This window comes from Homo sapiens, chromosome 2 (assembly GCF_000001405.40).
Source record: "Homo sapiens chromosome 2, GRCh38.p14 Primary Assembly".
In the NCBI taxonomy this organism is placed as follows: Eukaryota; Metazoa; Chordata; class Mammalia; order Primates; family Hominidae; genus Homo; species Homo sapiens.
This window is the reverse complement of record NC_000002.12, coordinates 40534694-40555984: the sequence shown is the minus strand read 5'-3', so window position 1 is coordinate 40555984 and position 21291 is coordinate 40534694. Positions and strand designations below refer to the sequence as shown.

General features: G+C 37.5%; 1 long non-coding RNA gene across 5 annotated transcripts in view; it reads right to left on the bottom strand.

Moving 5' to 3' along the window:
* LOC101929667 (uncharacterized) overlaps window positions 1-21291 on the bottom strand; it is a 46532-nt gene that overhangs the window by 2469 nt on the left and 22772 nt on the right. For 4 of the 5 annotated variants that reach the window (XR_939982.3, XR_244991.5, XR_939983.4 and 1 more), the window contains 3 exons: window positions 20911-21091; window positions 15547-15653; window positions 10204-10625 (listed from right to left, as the gene is read on the bottom strand). This is a non-coding gene — a long non-coding RNA (uncharacterized LOC101929667). Of the gene's footprint in view, window positions 1-10203; window positions 10626-15546; window positions 15654-20910; window positions 21092-21291 lie in introns of those variants that run through there. The other variant, XR_007086295.1, reaches the window with a different exon arrangement.

Sequence of the window (21291 nt, the reverse complement as noted above, 5' to 3'; positions counted from 1 at the left end):
CCTGCCAAAAGCATGGCAAGCTGAATTAACCCCGGATGGATAAGAGGCTGCTGCGTTACAGTGGTGGTTTTTCGTTTGCAAGCAAGTGGAATTGACTGTGTGTGTCTGTTCTTGAAACTGTTCCATTTCTAGCCCACCTCATTTTCACCTTCTCTTTGATTTACCACCACCACCACCTTGCTGTTCCCTGGAGCTTCCTGCTTTCCCTACCACTGTCTTTCAGCTGAAGCCAATGTGGAGAAAAAAATCAGTAACAAGGTTCTGGGTTAGGTACTTTCACATTTATAAGTTCATTACCACCTCTTTTTATAGAAAAGCAAACTGAAATTCAGAGTTGTTAATGATTTGACCTAAGATCACACAGCTAGTGAAGTATGAGAGTAGACTGATCTATCTCCAATGCCCATTCTCTTTCCATAAGAACAACTGTTTGTATTGCTCTCCTTGCATTCCCACTGCCTTCATTCATAAAACTTTTCTCATGGTCTCCAGGATCACACTGCACCCTCCCAGCACCATAACAGAGCTGACTCTGTCTAGACCTTCAGCCTAGCACTGTCCTACCTCTTCCTTGATTTTGTTATTTTTGGATAGGTTCTTGGCCCCTTCTAGTTGGCCAGGAGCTCTGTGAAGTCCTCACACGAGTAAGTAAAGCCAGAGGTTTTCCAAAGCAGTGAGAAAACTGCACGTTTTGAGATCGGCAGTTCATTCTACCCCCCTCATTTCATGGTTGTATCATTTCTATCATCCTCTAACAAAATAGCTATGAATAGTCACATCATGACATTGCCCTCCATTTCAAAAATTAAAATATTCTCACTCTGTGATTTTTTATTGGTTATACCTGTATTCAATCAAATATATTGATTATATCTTTTCTTGATAAATATAAAAACAATATGATAAAAACTTTTACATAATCCTAATAAGTTAGAAAATTTTTCCAGACTCTCATTTTTTTAGTATAAAGAAGGGCTTTACATTAATTATACTTATTCAAACTCTTGGATTTGAGGGTTTTCCAGAGGGTGAATGTGTTTAGGCACAGCTGCCACACTGTGCAACTCCATAGTGCACTATCTGCATTGAGCTCCAGGGGGAGCCATTGAGATTGTGATTGTGATGGTATCTTCCAAAGTGGAAGACAGTGAAGTGATAAGGTTTGAAAAGGTGGTTTGCGTGTCTGGCTGTAATTAGAATTATCAGGGGAGCTTTTAGGACTGAGTTTCACTCACGGCAATTAAGCCAAAATCTCTAGGTGGATCTAGGCATCAGTAACATTTCAAAACCGCTGGTGTAGAGCATGAGATCTTGGAGACGTGAAACCCAAAGTTGAATCCTAGTTTTGGAACTCTCCAAGCTTCATTTTCTTCATCTGTAATAAAATAAGGCTATGAATTGTTCTTACTTTATAGAACTGTAAATATAACCCTTAGCATTGTACTTCTAGTTAACATTTCAAGGTAATTAGTAATCACTACTGTTATTATTATGAAGAAACATATCACTACTGTTCTAATACCTCGATGTCTTTAAAAATAAAAAAGGATAATATACTACCAATTAAGCCACTTCTCAGAGATTCAAAGGGCATGTAAAATATAATTTATATTGGATGAGTCAGAAGATAATTCATTCAGTTGAACCTGTAGAAATCCTACTAAACTGCGAAAGTGGAGAATTCTACTAAAGATAGCACCTTCTACAATCTGACAATGAAAACCCTGCCATTGCACTTTTGCCTTTGGTTAATTTATATTTTCATTCTAACCACTCTGCACTTTGTCTAGTATATCAGTGTTACTTCAACTCTCTCTCAAACGCCAAGCATGAATTTATAGTGATTTGTTAATTACCCCTAGTGATTTCAGGTACTTCAAAGTTAACCTCCTAAGCAAACCCCTTCACAATTTAAGCCCAACCAATAGCAAGCCCTGTCAAATACATTTCATGAACATCTGGCAAGCATTAATCCTCTTCTCCATCTTCTCTCCAAGGCTAGGAACATCTCTTTTTTCGTACTCCTTTACCTGCTACTGATTCCTAATTAATCCTCATATGCTAAAAATAACTTCATAAAAAACAGATATTCACAAATCACTTCTGCTTTAAATTTCCTTTTACTGCCTTATTACCGACAGAATCAAGTCCAAAGTCCTTAGAGAATAAAAACCTTCAAGATCAGACTTTCATTAAACTTTTCAGAATCCTCCCTCCACCCACCGCTTCTTGATAAATGTCCTGATCTAACCACTCTGAATTCCACATGATCTCTGAATCTGCCAGTGTGTCTTTGCATACAGTCACCATTTTCTTTTCCTAGCTAACTGCTAATTATCTTTCAAAGCTGAAATCGTGTGTAATTTTGGGGGTGTTCTTTTATTACTCTTCTAAGCAGCATGTGTCTTTTCCTCTTCTGTGTTATTATGGCACTTACTGTGCTTTAATGAAATTGATCATTTATATCCTTCTCACTCAGTGGTCTGAAGGCTCCTTGAGAAGAGTCTAGGACTAACTTCGTGTTCTTAACTTTTACCTGACAGAAAGTCAAATGCATTTAGTTAAGGTTTATTTCATTAGAAATGAGACTTGCTGGACTGTGCTGAGGAACTAAAAATTCTAGTTGTAAAAAGAACTCAGAACAAAGATTAATAAATGAACTATTAGACACATGGATATTTCATTCAGTGTGGATTGGGAAAAATCCCTGTTGAAGCAGAAACATTCTACCCTCCCTTCTATAGCTCCACACGAGCTGGAAAAGCTGAGAAGCACCTAGAAATGATCTTGAGTTTACTGTGGAGCTAAAGGAAAGTGAAATTGTATACCGCTCAGCCAGTGGTATTGACACAAATACATACACTAAAGAAAGTAAGATCACACATTATTCTCTAGACTCTTTATTTTTAATCATCTGTAGTGCATAATGTTTGTGTGTGAGTTTTAAATTTATACATGTTAGATCACAAGGAAAACATGAAAACATTTACTGTACAATTTGTTCTCCAATATAACTTTGCTTTTGGACAATGGAGACTGAAGAAAGGCTTTTAAAATGATAAGACATCTCTTTCACAAAATTTTCTTCCCTGGAATTCCAGATCAATAATGTTTTTAGAAAGCTAAATTAATTAATAGGATATGGTCTTCACTGAGAATATTATAGGTGAACTATCCATAACAAAAAAGATAATGAATTAATGGTTATTGAAAAATAACCACTAAAATTTAACCAATTAATACTTTGCAAGTATTCCTCATGTATGACATTTAAATCAAAAGCTAAGTTACGCTGTGATCATCTAGAATAGCTGGGAATCATACAAATATCGAAGCCATTTGAAAAATGATTGTTGAACCAAAAATTAAAGTGAACATGGTAGAATCAGCTGGTATTACAATAGATGCCCATTAGCATTGGTTTTAGACTCTCTTTCTTATCCTCAAGCAAGTATATTTTCCCCAAAAAAAGAAAATGGAAAACACACACACACACACACACACACACACACGCACACACACACAAGAAACTGAGAAACCCAAATAAATAAATAAGATGGGAAATGAGAAAAAGGATAAAGAAAATGATGGAACAAGACAAGGAAAAAGCAAGAAACAGTCGTAGTAACTTGTCACCAAGCAATAAGAAGCCTGTACAGGACTTGGACCCTGAATCAGCTCTCATGTTACTCTTCTTACATTTCACTTATCATTGCAAGGGACACTGCAGGCTGGTGTGTCCACATTAGATCCCCTTCAGAAAACTGAGGGATTATGAATAGAGCCACCGTGAAAAAGAAGAAAGGGCATATTATCACTGACCCTGAAGTAGATGCACATAAAACTTCATGACCAAAAAAGCTTTCTTGGTAGGTTACCCAAGACCACTGATGTTACAAACCACTGTTTCTCAACTGTGGCCACAGGCTCAAATCACCTAGGGAGCATGAAAAAATATATAACCAGGCACCTCCCTCAGAGAGGGGTTTAATTGGTTTGAAATAGGATTTGCTGTTTTATTTCATTTTTTGAAATTTCTGAATGATTATAATGTGATGTGGGGCTCCATCTTTACAAAAGAAAAAAATTCAGAAAATATGTGCTGGCTTATTTATTGCTAAAACAACTAATTTGAACTATTATGAACTATGGAGTATTTATTTTCTTGAAATCCATGGGCATTTTCTGAATGCTTTGATCTCATTCACCTGACAACATAAAAACTATTTAATTGTTCTGAGCACATGTTCAAGGCATCCTGCTACCCTGGTCCCTACCACTGGTAGATTCTATGCTGTTTGTACTGAATGAAATAAGCCAATATTGATCTCATAGCAATCTCATCCTTTTCTCCTGAATTCACAGAAGAAAATTTTGCCTATTCTGACAGAAACATAACTACCTACTCCTACTATTCTTCTCATGTCTGCTATGGGGGAAGCTTCTGACAGTGTTAATCACTCTGCTTGTGAGAAGATACAGTGAGGGGATACGTATCTTTGCTAAAGTTTTACATCTTATTTTAATATATTAGCTGTTAACATTCTTAGTTGTCATCAAAGCAAAGCTTTAAGATTTCTCCTTTTTTCATAATCAAAGTACTTCATGAAACCCTTGCATGAATGACGGGAATTCCCAAAAACAAGTTCAGGCACTACCGATAATAGTCCCAGAATAGAGATGTTGGAATGAACTAATGGAAAGAATCCTGGAGCTGCATTTGGAAGATATAGGCTTTTAACTGGATTGGAATGTTTCCAAATTGCATGACCTTGAGCAAGTTATTTAACCCTTATGAGCCCCAATGTCTTTACCAAGGAGACTGTAAGTCCTGTACTAGCCAGCCCACAATGGGGTATAGTGAGTATATGTAAGAGGCCATCTTTACAAGGACATTTCGTACTTTTGCAAAGCACAATGAAAATTGATTTTTTTTCCTCTTCTGTCTCTTTTCTCCACTCCTTTCCATGAGGTACCTGGACTTCCCAAGCACAAACACCGCAGGCAGCTCTGTGGGAGCATAAGACCCCAAATAGCCAAGCAAGGCACCCAGCACAAACAGGCCGGGGCTGGAAGTAACCTGGGATAAAAGGACTGGAGAAGATAGTGGTATAGTGGGGTAAAATGATCAGAGGAAGTTAATGCATACCCTCTCTATGCTTTCTAGAATTTCTTTTGCAAAATACTAAAATTGTTTATTTCTCATAAGGACACATGTTTGATGATACCGAATTTTTCTTTATGGAGTAATCAATGGATTCCAGGGAAAAAAAGGGACAAGGCTATTTAAAAGGCTAAATGAAAGCTAATTTTAAAAGACTAAATTATATTGGGAGAAAAAAATCAACACTTGGTCCTCAAATTCTGTAAATATCTGGCCAATTCTGACCAACAATACAGGATCAGGAACAGAACTAAACTAAGGAAGACAGCGGTAAGAAGCCCAATGTGCTTATTGACATTTGTCTGACTAACTAAAGGAAAGAGCCTGAGGCAACATAAAATAAGTATGTTCCTCACGTGCAGTCATAAAACAGCATGAGCCCAGGGAATCTTCTTATTTGTAGCTTTATTCTGCATATTAAATTAATCATTAAATAGTGGTTATTGTCCACTAACCAATAACTATGGGGCAAGAGCTGTTCTACTGTTATCTCAAATAATCCACTATATCTCTCAAGGTGATCACTACCCTGCCCTTTCCCCACCAGCATCTGCATATTGGGAAACTTAGACTCAGAGAGGCAAAGCACTGAAGTGTGCTGAGTCTAATGAATTATGTGTTTGTTTATTATCCATTCTTCCTTTTGGAGTCAAAGATTTGCCTTTGCTTAGTAATTAACCATAGAGGGATACACTTTTTCTTTTAATAAGCTATATTCTTCACAAATAGTAAAATCATAGATTGCAAAAATTCTATATATATGATATGTAATTCTATATATATGATATATAATTCTATATATATGATATATAATTCTATATATCATATAAAATAGAAATATGTATATATTTATTTCTTCACAGATTTACTATAAACCAAGGAGATATATACATATCTCTATTCTAGTAAGTTAAAATTCGGGAAACTTTATTTTTTTATAGCCCAAACTCTTTTATTGTAGGTAATAAATTATAAAAATTAAATGTTTAATCCAACGAAGCAAATTTTAGATAAATGATGGAAATAGTTACTGTTATTAGTAAGGAAATATTTATTTATTTATTTATTAGGGAAAATGAAACAGCTGCATATTTAATCAATTAATATGTTAATATGTATGTTACAGAATTATTTTTCAATCCACATTTAGAGAAAGTATAATGCCTTTAACAAGAACACTTGTATTTTGCAATAAGTATAAAAATAAAAATGCAAAAAGGATGCTTATGTAATTTCTAATGCTAAAATAGCACTGAACTATATCATTGGTGGTATTTAAAACCCTAAGAAATCATTCAATGATAATATTAACAAATAGGGCATATCTTTCAGTCAGCTTGACACTACTCTAGACACAAGCATAACTGATATTCCTTTGGTAAAATGCAGGGCAGAGTCTATGAAGGAACATCTGATGTCTATAGTAAAATTAAGGTCAAGGACTTGGCAGAATATGTTACAGATTATAACAGATGTTCCCAAATTAGATCATATTTTTATTAAAATCTATAGAGATGTTCAGTCAGTAGAACCTAGAATCACAGAATTGTAGAACAAATGGTAATATTTAGAGGCTAGTCATCCCCATCATTTTAAAGGTGAAGAAACTGACACTCAAATAAGGTTAAGGGCTTAGCCCAAGGTCCCAGATTTGGTTAGCAGTATTTGAATCAGAACTGAAGTCATTTCTGCTATCACAGGTTGTCTCTCATTGGCAACAAATGAAGAAATATTTTCTTTACATTTCAAAAATTTAGAATATATTATATTATGTGGTAGTATTAGACTAAGGAATAATAACAAAATGAACCACTGCATTATTTGGATCTTTTCTGATTCCTGCTCCTGAAAATTGCCCAGTTGTTATATTTTCTATTAAAGTCCAAATGGCAAGGAATGTTACCATTCACCAGACATTGAACAGATATCAAACTAATATTAAATCTGCAATGCACATAAAAAAATTCAGTAGTACCAAATATCAGCAAATATTAGCACCATGCTAGCATGTGGGTGGTACCTTTTAAAATTCAGTTAATAAGTAAACACTTTCACAGTTGAGACTTTCACAAGATTTAACATTATCCAGAGTTTGGATGCAATGCTAAACTTCCATGAATCACAATAGATTTGGCAACAAATGGGCATATATTACCCTAGCAAACTCAAAAACACCACAGTGAATTTCACATGTGTTCTTTTATGGATACATCAAGTTGACAATACGGCAATAATGCATGTAGAAATATATGTATGTATATATATACACACAAACACACACAACACACATATAAATATATACACATATTTATTCTAAATATATATACATAGATATTCTAAACATATATAGATATTCTAAATATCGATATATATTCTAAAATGTCATAAATTTTTCACTTGTGATTTTTAAGACCTTATCATAGATACACTGGGAATTAGAATATCCAAGTTCTTTTATAATCTGTTACATATCATGTCAGGAGGAATTCTGGCTTTAACTTTTCTTTTTTTGAGACCGAGTCTTGCTCTGTCGCCCAGGCTGGAGTGCAGTGGCGAGATCTCAGCTCACTGCAAGCTCCACATCCCAGGTTCACGCCATTCTCCTGCCTCAGCCTCCCGAGTAACTGGGACTACAGGCGCCCATCGCCACGCCAGGCTAATTTTTTGTATTTTTAGTAGAGACAGGGCTTCACCATGTTAGCCAGGATAGTCTTGATCTCCTGACCTCGTGATCCGCCCGCCTCAGCCTCCCAAAGTGCTGGGATTACAGGCATAAGCCGCCGCACCCGGCCTGACTTTAACTTTCAGTGGCAAACTGAGATAGATTTTGCAGAGTCCAGACACCAAAATCTGGGGAGAATACAAGTGAGTTTCATGCCAGTCATAAAGCTGTAGGGCTAGTTATACCTCCCCACATTAGCTAATATACCTGATAGTTAAAATGTACCCCTCTGTTGTGCTCTTCTAATTTTTATTATTGAGCCAGATCAAGAGTATATCTCACTGCCTTACTTTACTTCAGGGGTCCTCAAACTTGTATGGGTTTCAGAACTTCTCGAGGAACTTGATAAAAATAAAAAGGCTCAGGATCTATCCTACTTCGAGAAGGCTGGGCCTCTGTGGGCTTTATGACCTCAACCAATGATTATGATAGGCACCAAATTTGAGAAGCACTACTTTAGTGTATGCTCTTAATGTTGACTTCCAGATCATTTCAGTTTCTTTTCATTGGTCTGTCTGATTACAGTTTCTTTCTGCATCAACTTATTCTTCATCCAGTCAACAAATCTGAACAAGTCCAAGTTTGTTAAAAGTAATAACAATGATAATGATAATGACTGTTTATCACAACGGACAAAAGTCTAAATTTCCTATGGTGCATTTAAGGCCCTTTCAAGACTTGCCCTTTGCAGTCTTCTCCCGTCAGTTTCATCACTCCGAATGACTTGCACTTTCCCCTAATGCAAAATGATTTCTCAGAGTCTGAGTTTTCTTATATTCACATATTCTTTCAAAAATTATTTACTGAGCTCTTACTGCCTGTACAGCACTGGATCTAACACTGAGGCTAAAGTAGTGAAGAGACGGAAATCATGCCAGTTCTCAAAAAGTGAAAAACATAAGAACAACAAACACATTTAACTTAATTAGAATTGAGATAAATACTGTAAAGAGTAACTGTCGGGTGTCGTGACAGCATATAACAGGGACCTCGTTTGGTCTAGGAATTTTCATGGGCAGCTTTCTCAAGGAAGTAATTGTTGAGCTAATGCTTGAAGTATGGATATAAATCATCAACATAAATGACAGGCGGTTCAGAGGAATATTAAAGACAGGGAATAGAACGTGCAAAGGTCTTGGAGTCAAAGAAGAATAACTTTTCAAGGAACTAAAAGTAGATTATATAAGTTAACATAAAAAAAGAGAAGTTCATTAGCTAGAGACAAAGTTCATGAAACGGGCAGTCTATGTAAGAACTTGTTAGCCATGTTTTTTTTTTTACCCTAGGGAAAATCGAGAGTGAAAAAATAGTTGTAAGCAGAGAATTGTCTCAGATTTGCATTTTAATGATCATTCTGACCCCAGTGTAGAGAATGGATTAGATGATGAAAAGCACAGATGATATACTACTTTACAGGAGGTTATTGCAAGCAGCCTGGAAGAAAACAGTTAGTGATTGGATTAGACTTTACACATTAGAGTGGTAGTAAGAAAAATGATGAGGGAGGACAGATTGAACATATGCTTTTCATTCTACTCAGATAATCATGGTTTTCCCCATCTCTCTCTTGGTTTCATCCACAATGCCTAGATTAAATTCAGGGTTCCTTTAGCATTGAGTATTTACTATTGCTACATTTTAAATATCGGTTATACACCTTTCTCCTTATACTAGAATATATGTGTGTGTGTGTGTGTGTGTGTGTGTGTGTGTGTGTGTGTATGTATATAGACTTTTTTTTTTTGAGATGGAGTTTCAGTCTTGTTGCCCAGGCTGGGTGCGATGGTGCAATCTCGGCTCACTGCAACCTCCACCTACTGGGTTCAAGCAATTCACCTGCCTCAGCCTCCTGAGTAGCTGGGATTACAGGCATGCACCACCAAGCCCAGCTAATTTTGTATTTTTAGTAGAGATGGGGTTTCTCCATGTTTGTGAGGCTGGTCTTGAACTCCCGACCTCAGGTGATCCACCCACCTTGGCCTCACAAAGTGCTGGGATTACAGGCGTGAGCCACCACGCCTGCCTAGAATATAAATTATTAAGGGTACATGTGTGTTTTATTTATCTATTACATCCACTGCCTGACTGATTCTATGTTTTAATATTTTAATGAATCGACCATGAGTTGACCAACCATGTGATCTTAGGCAGGTTAACCACTGTGATCTCCATTTTATCACTTAATAAGTAATCTCATCCCCTCACCCACTGTGAGCCCTTTGAGCCAAATCCTGGCAAGAAACTATCACTTTCTTGGCACGAAAAGTATGCTAAAGTCGAATTGGACAGATCCCAGCACGAAAGATTCAACTGAAAATTATTTAATGAAGGAACTTTTTATTGATGTTGGGGCAAGGTTCAGGGACCAACAAGAATATATGAGGCACTCAGGAACTCTGATGTCAGGAAACCTTTATCACCCCTACCCAGAAAGAGATAAGGGTGAGGGACAGTGTTAATGAAGCCTAGTTGAAGGATGGAGTTGTGGATGTTGGCCTGTCCAAGAGTAGTTGTGGCCATAATAAGAACAGCCACTGCTAGGACCATGGCAGGTAATGAGATGGGAGTGGAAGGGATCTTGTACACAAATCTTCCTCTTTTCCCAGCTGTCAATTTCTTTCCAGCCTGTCATTGGCTGAGCACATTTGAAAGCCAAATGGCAAGGAAATCCAGGTGATTTTGCTTTTGAGGTCAATCTTCCAGGCCGCTGAGCAAAGTATAGGAAAAGGAAGGATGGATCTAGGGAGGCAAATGGGGAATAATGAGAAAGAGAGAAAAGATTTACACAACTAACTCTTCAAGAAAACCATGAGATATTGAATTTAGTGGACCAAAGAAGTGACTCTAATGAATAATAATGTGGGCCAGATATGAACAAAAATAATTCAGAATGTGGAGTACTGAGACAGGGGATTACAGAACCATGGAAATAATGGCAAGAAAGGATGAAGGAATTGAGCAAAGGGAAACACAATCTAGCCAGAGGCTCAGGCCTGAATCTTTTGCCATCTTTCACATTTATGTCCACATCTGTATTTGAAGAGCAATAAGACCCTTTCCAGTCAAAAAATTAAGTGACCTCAATATTAAGACAAGTTTACGTAATGCTATTATAACTGTAATAAGATACCTCTCTACCACTACAACTCAGAGACTCAGGTCTCATATACTCTATTTATTGAAAATGAAACCACCTGTGCAAAATTATAACTGAGGAAATTATGACCGAAAGAAATCAGACCTAACTGACTCTGTCTTGCTTCTAACTTTTAAGCTGTCCTTGCTCATTCCTGGGCATAGGTCGAACTAACTTTGGGAAGGAATTCCGTTCATTGTTTGACTCTGAAACAAAATTGATAAAAGCCCTTTGCCAAAAAGACTCCCTTCTTATCTGGGGTCAAGTCTGCCTTTTCAGGACTAACAAATTAGCTACAAGATCAGAAATTACAATTTAGGGGTCATGCAACCTCTGGCTCCAAGAGTCTGAACCTCCTTAAATTGCTCTTGGAGATAACATCACTATTGTAAAACCTAAGATGAGTGCTTGAAATATTTTGCAGACCCTGCACTCCATGGATCAGCTCACACCACCCAGACCAGTAATCTGACCCAAGAACAGAAGACATTAAGAAAACCTAATTTCAACCCCCTATGATTCCATCTCCAACCTGACCAGCCAGCATTCCCCACTTCCCAAGCCCCTACCCACCAAATTATCTTTTAAAACTCTGATCCCAAATGCTCAGGGAGACTGATTTGAGTAACAATAAAACTCCGGTGTCCCACACAGTTGGCTCTGCGTGAATTACTCTTTCTCCGTTGCAATTCCCCTGCCTTGGATAAATCAGTTCTGTCTAGGCAGCAGGCAAGGTGACCCCTTCAGGCAGTTACAAAAACTCTATGATCTAGGAGTATGAAACCAAATGAAATTTGGTATATCCAATATCAATTGAAAGATTCTTCATATTGATACACATAATTACTATTGATCTACTATCTAGGAGAATTTACTCTTTGTTAGGGGAGATTAGAGGCTTTATAGATCTCACTGTCTCATACTATAAAAACAACACATAGATGATATTGTAATGCACAACTTTCTGGAAGAGCGCCTGTGGCCTAAAGAGAAACGTTAACACAAGTAACACACCCTACATGGCACAGATAGAAAGTGGAAAAGCCAGGGTTCACATTCAAGTCTCTGACTCGGCAGCCCTTAGTCTTTCTTCTATATATTATAGTCTAATGAAGCAATGGAGCTGCCTATATATTAAGGAGTAATATTGATGAATTCTATGTTTAGCTATAAGAACACTAATGGAATTTTCTAATTACTTGGGAAAAATATCAGAAGAGATGGAAATGTTGAGCTAATTGGTTTATGGAAATGAGATAGCTTGGTTAGGCAAGAATTCGTGATATCCAATGGGTGTTTATTACGGAGGGAGATAAGCCTCACCTAGAGTACTTGGGAGAGCAGGCTGGACCTGAAAAGTGTGGTTTCCACAGAATGGAAAGATTGGTGGTGAGATTGTAAAAGGAGCTATTTAGCCATGAGCAATTGTTCTTAAGAAGGTGTGCTTTGTAAGTCTGCCTTCCCAGCAAACCTCAGATATTTCCTTGCATCATTTACCTACTTGTTTTATTGACTCATACAATTCTTTATTTAATTTAAAAAGCATTTTCTACATCCCATGCCCACTTCTAGGTTCTGGAGGATATACAGTCAAAATGACACGCTCCTTCACCTTCACAGAGTGTTCATATTTGGTGAGAGACACAGAGTCATGCCCCAGCAAATGTAATCCTGTATGACAGGTGCTAGGATATTTGCTGAGGATGCTTTGGAAGTACAGATAAAAAAATATATCTTTATCATTAAAAGGTTGGGAACATTCCTTTTAAACATCTTGAAGGATGAAAATTAACTGGGTAGAGAAAAAAAAGTAAGATTTTAAGTAGAAAGAATGACACCTATGGAGGCCATGAGGACAGAGGCAATTTTTTTTTCTTTTTGAAATCACTTTGCTTTATTGCAGAAACATCAAAGACTTTTACTGAATAGCTAACAGAAGGCTATGGTATGTATACAACAGAGTCCTCTTTTCAAAGAATAGCAATCAGTTTCTATTTTCTGTTCATTCAAATAAAAGCTGATGTTCCTGATGGTTTTGAAAGAACATCAGTACTTTTCTGTGTGAGCTACTTTATGTGAATGAGTATATTTAAAAAGTTTAGGCCAGGTGCGGTGGCTCATGCCTGCAATCCCAACACTTTGGGAGTCCGAGGCAGGTGGGTCACTTGAGTTCAGGAGCTTAAGACCAGCTTGGGCAACATGGTGAAAATTGAAAATATGTCTCCACCAAAAATACAAAAATATCAGCAAGATGTGGTGGCACGCACCTGTAGTCCCAGCTACTTGGAAGGCTGAGGTGGGAGGATTGCCCGAGACTGGGAGGCGGAGGTTGCAGTGAGCCGAGGTCACACCACTGTACTCCAGCCTGGGCGACAGAGTGAGACCTCATCTCAAATAATAAAATAAAATAAAATTTAAATTAAAAAAAGTTTAAATGACAAGACAAAACAGATAGCTGTCTTGTATGCGATAGACCTTACAATGTGAGATGGGGCATTCTGTTTTGTTTTTTTTTGGTTTTTTTTTTGTTTTTTTTTTTTTTTTTTTTTTTTGAGACAGTCTCACACTGTTATCCAGGCTGTAGTGCAGCGGTGCGATTTCCACTCACTGCAACCTCTGCCTCCCGGGTTCAAGCAATGCTCCTGCCTCAGCCTCCAGAGTAGCTGGGATTACAAGCACCCACCACCATGCATGGCTAGTTTTTTGTATTTTTACCAGTGATGGGGTTTCACTATGTTGGCCAGGCTGGTCTTGAACTCTTGACCTCATGATCCACCGGCCTCAGTTTCCCAAAGTGTTGGGATTACAGGCGTGAGCTACCACACCCAGCCCGGGGCATTCTTTTTTTTTTTTTTTTTTTTGAGACAGGTTCTCTCTCTGTCTCCCATGCTGAAATGCAATGGCATGATCATAGCTCACTGGAGCCTCAACCTCCTAGCTCAAGCAATCCTCCCACCTCAGCCTTCCGATCCTCCTACCTCAGCCTTCTGGGCAGCAGGGGCTACAGGCGCACACCACCATGCCCCACTAAATTTTTTTTTGTTTGTTTTTTAACGTATAAGTGGGATCTTGCTATATTTCCTCGGCTGGTTTTGAAGTCCTGGTCTCAAGCCATCCTCCCACCTCAGCCTCCCAAAGTGCTGGAATTACATGCATGGGCCACCATGCCCAGCCAACAAGATTTTCTTTATGTTATGTGAAGTCTAGTTTTGCAAGATTTTAATAAGTATTCCATGAAGAAAAAGAAATGCAGTCAAATAAATTTGAGAAATACTGGTTTAAACACCTGAGGTCAAGAGTTCCCTGGCCAAACCCCGTTTCTACGAAAAATGCAAAAGTAGCCAGGCATGGTGGCATGCCCCTGTAATCCCAGCTATTCAGGAGGCTGAGGTGGGAGAATTGCTTGAACCCGGTAGGCAGAGGCTGCAGTGAGCCAAGATCGCACCATTGCTCTCCAACCTGGGTGACAGAGTGAGATCCCATCTTAAAAAAAAATAAAAATAAAAATAAATAAAGAATGAAAGACACTTAATGGCATGATACACATTACAATGTATACCATACTATGTTAAGTGCCATTTACCTAAGTGTGTTTCTCAGAACATTAGTTCTACATAACATCTACTGTAAAATGTTCCAAAGTTAAATATATTTGAGGAATGTTACACCCTTACCCTTCTTTCAGAAATGTATGATAATATTAGAACACTAAAGGCTCCAACAAGTTCTGGAAGAGGCAAACATTTTGATATGAGTGGAGAGGAAGGTGCTTATGGCACAAGGATGGAAGATAAACCCAGAGAAGCAGGCAATGCCAAATCTTGAAGGCGATTGTATACCTTGCTCAGGAATCTGACCATAACCATGAATCTTTGGGAAGCAGCTGAATGATTTAAATCAGCAGAAAGATAAAATCAGATCCAAACTTAGTAAAGACCACATTGGATACAATGTGAAAAGGAGCAAGGAGGACCTCCAGGCAGAAGGCCCAGAGACCAGTTGGATAGGTTGGTTCCAAACCTGAGTGATTGTGTAAGTGGTTATGATAATAACTGATATGGGAGTAGAGGAAGAGGAGCAGGCTGAATTAGATAAAATAAGGACATTTCAACTTAATTATTTTTCCGTAAGTTCTCATCTTCTTTCCTTTAACATGTTAAGAAATAAAAAAAGGTTATATATATATATATATATGTATATATATATATATAATTAATAAAGAGTATATACAATTGTGGCATATTAATTTTTTGGCCCTGAACTAACATAGGCTCCCAGGGAACTGTGTTTATTTACATGCACAGAAGAGGCAGAGATGAACCAGTCTAGCCCTTAGCGACAAGAGTGGTGATAGTCACCCATTCTCACCTCTTGCTCACTAATCCCACTCCCCATGATTTCCAAAAATAAGAAGGCACCTCTTCACACTCACTCAGTGACAATATTTGCAGGAAAAGAGACCTAAGTCTTTATTAGGAATGAATGAACTCACCAAGAATATGGTTTTTACTTTGGTACACTTACCTTTTGCCAAGTAGTGTCTGTTATGCCAAGATCCACACTAGCAGGCAGCATGCAGGAGGAAAAAGCAGCTTCTCTGCCACTTCGGAATGGCTTTCTTTCCTACCTCACTGAAGATAAGAGACATTATTGATTTTATTAGGGTAGTTCAATTAGCAGAGCAAACAGATTTCTAGACTGGAGAAAAGGCTAAGTGACTTTTGTCCTTGATCTAGAGAAATTACCTGGCAACCCGCACTTCACTTTCTGTCATAAATAAGCCTGGTGGTGAGTGATGTGTTATTTAAATGAGTGAGTCCCAAACCTAGGTGAGTCTGATGTGGTTTGCGAACCACTGGTACAAATACAGATCATAGGAAGCTTTTTAAGTGCATGTAATTCATTTGGCCAAAAAAGGGGGGATAAACACAGCCCAGGAAAAATACGTGAAATCAAGCAAAATGTATAATATCTCAGTAAACAATGTATAGCAATTTGAAGAAAATATAATAGTGTTGTAATAAACAATGCTTGACTCAAATGGGGTAACAGTACCAACCAATTATAACACTTTTTTTTTTTTTTTTTTTTTTTTTACTCTTCTGTAGCAAGCAGTGTTCTTTGGCTGCAGTGTCAGAAGCAGACTCTAAGCAGAAAATAAAAATTGTGGAAAGTCATAGGGTGGTTTATAGGAATAAAGGGTAAGACAATGAGGAAGCTGAGTAGAGACATGAAACATTTAGCTTTAGAGATCTGGGCAGTGGTACCAGACAGAAGTTTCTCATAGGACGGCAGTGACAAAAACGAGCTTCTTTTTAAGTCAAGTGACAGCTTTTATCAATGATATTCAAAGAGGAAAGAGCCTGCATGATGAAGAATGGTATTTAAGAAAGGGAAAACATGTACTTTAGAACTCCTGTAGCAGAGTTGATCAACATGCTTGCACTTTAGAACTGATTCCTTAATAAACTATACTTATTTAAAATTGGAAACAGCCCAGTGAGTATTCTATACAGAGAATATACCAGCCGGCCATGGTGGCTCATTCTTGTACTCCCAGCACTTTGGGAAGCCAAGGGAGGGGATCACTTTTAAGCCAGGACTTTGAAACAAGCCTGGACAACATAGTGAGACCCCGTCTCTACTAAAAAGTTAAAGCCAAGCCCGGTGCTCTGGCTCACGCCTGTAATCCCAGCACTTTGGGAGGCCGAGGTGGGCAGATCACAAAGTCAGGAGATCGAGACCATCCTGGCTAACACGGTGAAACCCTATCTCTACTAAAAAAATACAAAAAAAAAAAAATTAGCCGGGCATGGTGGTGGGTGCCTGTAGTCCCAGCTACTTGGGAGGCTGAGGCAGGAGAATGGTGTGAACCCAGGAGGCAGAGCTTACAGTGAGCTGAGATCATGCCACTGCACTCCAGCCTGGGTGACAGAGCGAGACTCTGTCTGAAAAAAAAAAAAAAATTAAAAATTAGCTGGGCATGGTGGCACATGCCTGTGGTCCTAGTTACTCGAGAGGCTGAGGTGGGAGAATTGTTTGGGCCCAGGATTTCAAGGCTGCAGTGAGCTATGATCACATCACTGCACTCCAGCCTAGGCAACAGGGCAACACCCTAACTCCGATTAAAGTATATATATATATATATCTTAAAAGAAGGCAGCAAGAGAAGTAATAATAATATTTTTTAAAAAACCTGGATATGCTACCTTTACATTAATCAAAGTAATGCAAAAAGGCAGGTAGAGTGCAATGATAAGCTTACTAAGGCTGGTAAGCTACAAGAGGTGATTGGAGGAAAAATAAAAGAAGGAAACTTAGCTTTTAAGTGGAAAAATAAAACTTGCTTTGGTCAGAATTTAAAATAAACTCAAAATTAATTCTTTTTGATGCGTATGAAATCTTATTAAAATGAATACCCTTTACTGGATCATGACGATACTCAACCCTAGTCAATGGATCATTTTACTTAACTATTTAGTTCAACAGAAATTTCAGACAGTAATTTGGATGATGCTTTGGTGTTGTCATAGAATTAAATCCAAAAGCCTTTATGATACAATGATAGAGTTTATAAGAGTAATTGCATGAGTAGTATGTCATTTTCCTAATACCACAGTAGGGAGAGTATTTTCATTGTGGGGCCTAGTATTCAATTATATACTTATTATCTATTTGGCTTTAAGCAGGCATTTTAGCCTTTTTGATCCTTAATCTCCTCATACACATGGAGACTAGTAAGTAATTACTAGCCCTGCCTATCTCACAGGGTTGTGAAGTAAGTCAGGCAAAATTATTGGTGGTAAAATCACTTTGCAAACTATACAGCATCCTACAAATGTAAGGGCCAATTATATTTATGTTGACATATGATTTAATAATGAACATTAGGAGAGATGTAATGCTTTGAATTTCCTTACTAGAGATGATAAAAGCTGTATTAATACAATTCAAGTTGATAACAATAATTTGGAGTAATGCTTCACAAACCAAAACAACTTTTTTAAAGTTACCTTCAATGTATGAAGTATATATTGTATGTTGTTAAAAAGTAATTTGAGTCTGTGATACATGAATCTTCACAAGTAATTTCTTTCTTAAGACCATGTGAAAAAACAATTTTTACAAAAGCTGCAAGCCTGGGCAACCTAGCGACACCCTGTCTTTACAATTTTTTTTTTTTTTAAATTAACCAGGCATTGTGGCATGTGCCTGTAGCCCCAGCTACTGGGAGATTGAGGTGAGAGAATCGCATAAGCCTGGCAGGTTGAGGCTGCTGTGATCTTGCCACTGTACTCCATCCTGGGCAACAGAGAAAAACCCTGTCTCAAAAGAAAAAAAAATAACTGCAGTTGCAACAACACCATTGACATGACAGAGCATGAGCATAATTAATACTGCATACAAATATAATCTCAAAATATTAGAAGGGGGTTCACTGCTCAATTGTTCAGAAAATGATAGGGTATGTTTCTTTTGGGTCAAATTACTGAGAATTTTTAAAAATTGCCCTCAAATAGAAACTGCACCGTATTTTTATCTGGAGAAAACCATCTGTGGGAACCACCTTCTGCCTCCCATGTCTTGGCAGCGGGAACTAGTGCCTCAGATTAGGACTATTTATTTACTGACCCCTGTGGCAACAATGTGCCTTATCTTGCATAAATCCTAATATCATAAGAACTCCATTGTACTTTTTATGGTATATCATCCCTAAAACAAAAATCTTGATGTGAAATATAAATGCTTCAATAGAATATTGTTAAATAAAATATTTCTATAATGCCAGAGAGTCTTATGCAGTCTCTTCACCAGATGTTACTTTGGAATAAACCCTCTGCCATTTCTGAGTAAAAGTCACTGGACCTTTCAACGAAGTGATTGAGTTAAAGTCATCCCCTTTAATCTGTTACTGAGAGCATTCAATAGTGTATAGAAATGGCAGGGCTGGGGCTTTTAATGGTGTCCCTAGACACATGTAGCAACACTTCGTGGAGACACTGCTCAGGTGCCTCATTTCTGTAGGTTTAGGGACCATTTCCCTGTTGTTTTTCAGGCTCACAATAAGAAATTGAAATGCGTCAAATGGCTAAAAACTTCACCTACAGTGAGACCTGATCACTTTCCAGGTTTCTTGGTTTGTTAAAGCACACTGGCTAAGATTCCAAATGTCTACACATGAAGACTAAGTTAGACCCATAAATTGCTTCGGGGTTCTGAAAAGAAAAATGCTGTATGAATACCAAGCAGTGATATTATCAGTTTATCTTATGGCAATATCTGACACTTTTCAAGCCTACAGGATTACACACATTTTAATAAAAGTAGTGTTCTATAGAACTTACTTTCATACAACTACATTATATTTTTATGTTTGAGAGAATGTAGGTGGTAGTAAAGATATTCCATTTTCTTTTGACGTCTTCCTCCAATGTTTCAAATGCATTAATACTCAGCAGGTGAAACTGAAATACATTTTATTCTTCAGAATCATTCCCTTGTAAGAGCTCAAATGATTGTTAAATCAGAGTTGAGTGAGCTGCAACTGGATATGTCATTCATTGATTTTTTTTTTTTTTAGTAGTGATTTGACATTTCCATGCATGTTAACACCCTCTTTTGGTAATAAAACACTCGAGGCCAACTCTTTCTCTGTTCTCTCTTAAAGACCTGCTGTTCTTTCTCATTTTTCAAGTGCTTCATGAACAAATAAAGTAACGTGACATTGTTGTTAAGAGGAGTGTTTCAATACTCTGGACTCACTGATTGTGCTCTGAATAATTTGCTCGCTTTTTACATTATAAAAGCAACCAGATGAAAAAGAGCCTTACATCTAAGCATAGAAGAGTTCTAACAAGTGTAAAGGCTTCCCAGGCTCCAGCTTGCCTCCCAAGGTTCTAAAATAAGTGCTTAAAAAATGGCATTGTCTAGTGAGACTGCTAGTTGGGGAGGATTGCGTGAAGAAAATAAGTGGATGTTAATCTCCCAGAGGTCAAGAACTTCATCTTATTTACAGTTGTACTCCATGTTGTGATGGGCCTCATCAGTGTCTTACATAGTTATAGGAACCGAAACAGAAAAAGAAAAAAAAAAAACTATTTCTGAATCATCAAGAGGTCTTTTTTGTAACATAAAGAGGAGGGAAGGTTTTCCAAATGAAAATTATACTGGTAAGAAATCCTAAATGAAGCACAAAATATGAGTTTGGGGAATACTGCTTATGTAGTTATTTGTCTGTCTGTCTTTCTGTGTCTATGATATTTGTGTGTGACATATGAGGTATGACTATAAGGAGACTTAAAAAGCACACATTTTCAACAGTTCATTTTGTGACAGTGTGGTTTAACTTAATAAGGTATGCTAAAGTGCTTTGCAAACTGTAAAGTATTATCCAAATATGACACATTGCAATTATAGTTTGTCCTACAACAAATATTTATTGAGTAGTTCCTAATGTCTATATCAATAAAATAACTACATTGGTAGGGACCAGGAAGAATACAATGACTTTACCCATAACCACACAACTACAGAAAAGAGAAAACAACGAATATAAACATTGACGACTGACCATAGAGGAAATGTGTATTAAACAATAATCAGGAGGTATGCTTATCTGTCCAATATACAAGTTGACTTTGTAATATATTGAATCTTTTATTCTCAATTGTAATATATTGAATCTTTTATTCTCAGAGCGCCACTTTATCGTTGTAATTTCAAAGCATAATAGCTCAGAAGTTTTTATTAAGAACAAGAATAAGAATAAACAGAAGGACTTTTTCTCTCCTTCATAAACAGTATCGCAATCTGTGGATGCAGTGTAAACGTGGCTGCAAAAAGAGAAGAGACATGAAACTTTCAAGACAGCTCTCAATAACTGCATACCTGGAGTGACTATTGATTGTGTTTCCATTTATTCTCAGCTTCAATCACTCCGTCTCGCAGTTGGACAACACCTCTCATTCAAAATAAACCTTCAGTTGTTGATTGTTCCATATCAGGTAGCTGCCATTTCCTGCCATTTCTTGATCAGAATACATTGCTTTGAGTTTTTCCTCTTTAAATCCTTGATACAAATGCATAAGCACAGGGATGACACACTTTGGAACACTATGAAGCACCTTCCAGAACTTACCAGTGTTATTTCACTCTGTAACCAGTTAAAAACAAATCACAATGACTAATGCTGTCACTGACGAGCTGTAGTTGCCATTTACCTCTATCTGTGGATAAGACATTTGTTGAGTATTTTGGCCCAGAGATTCA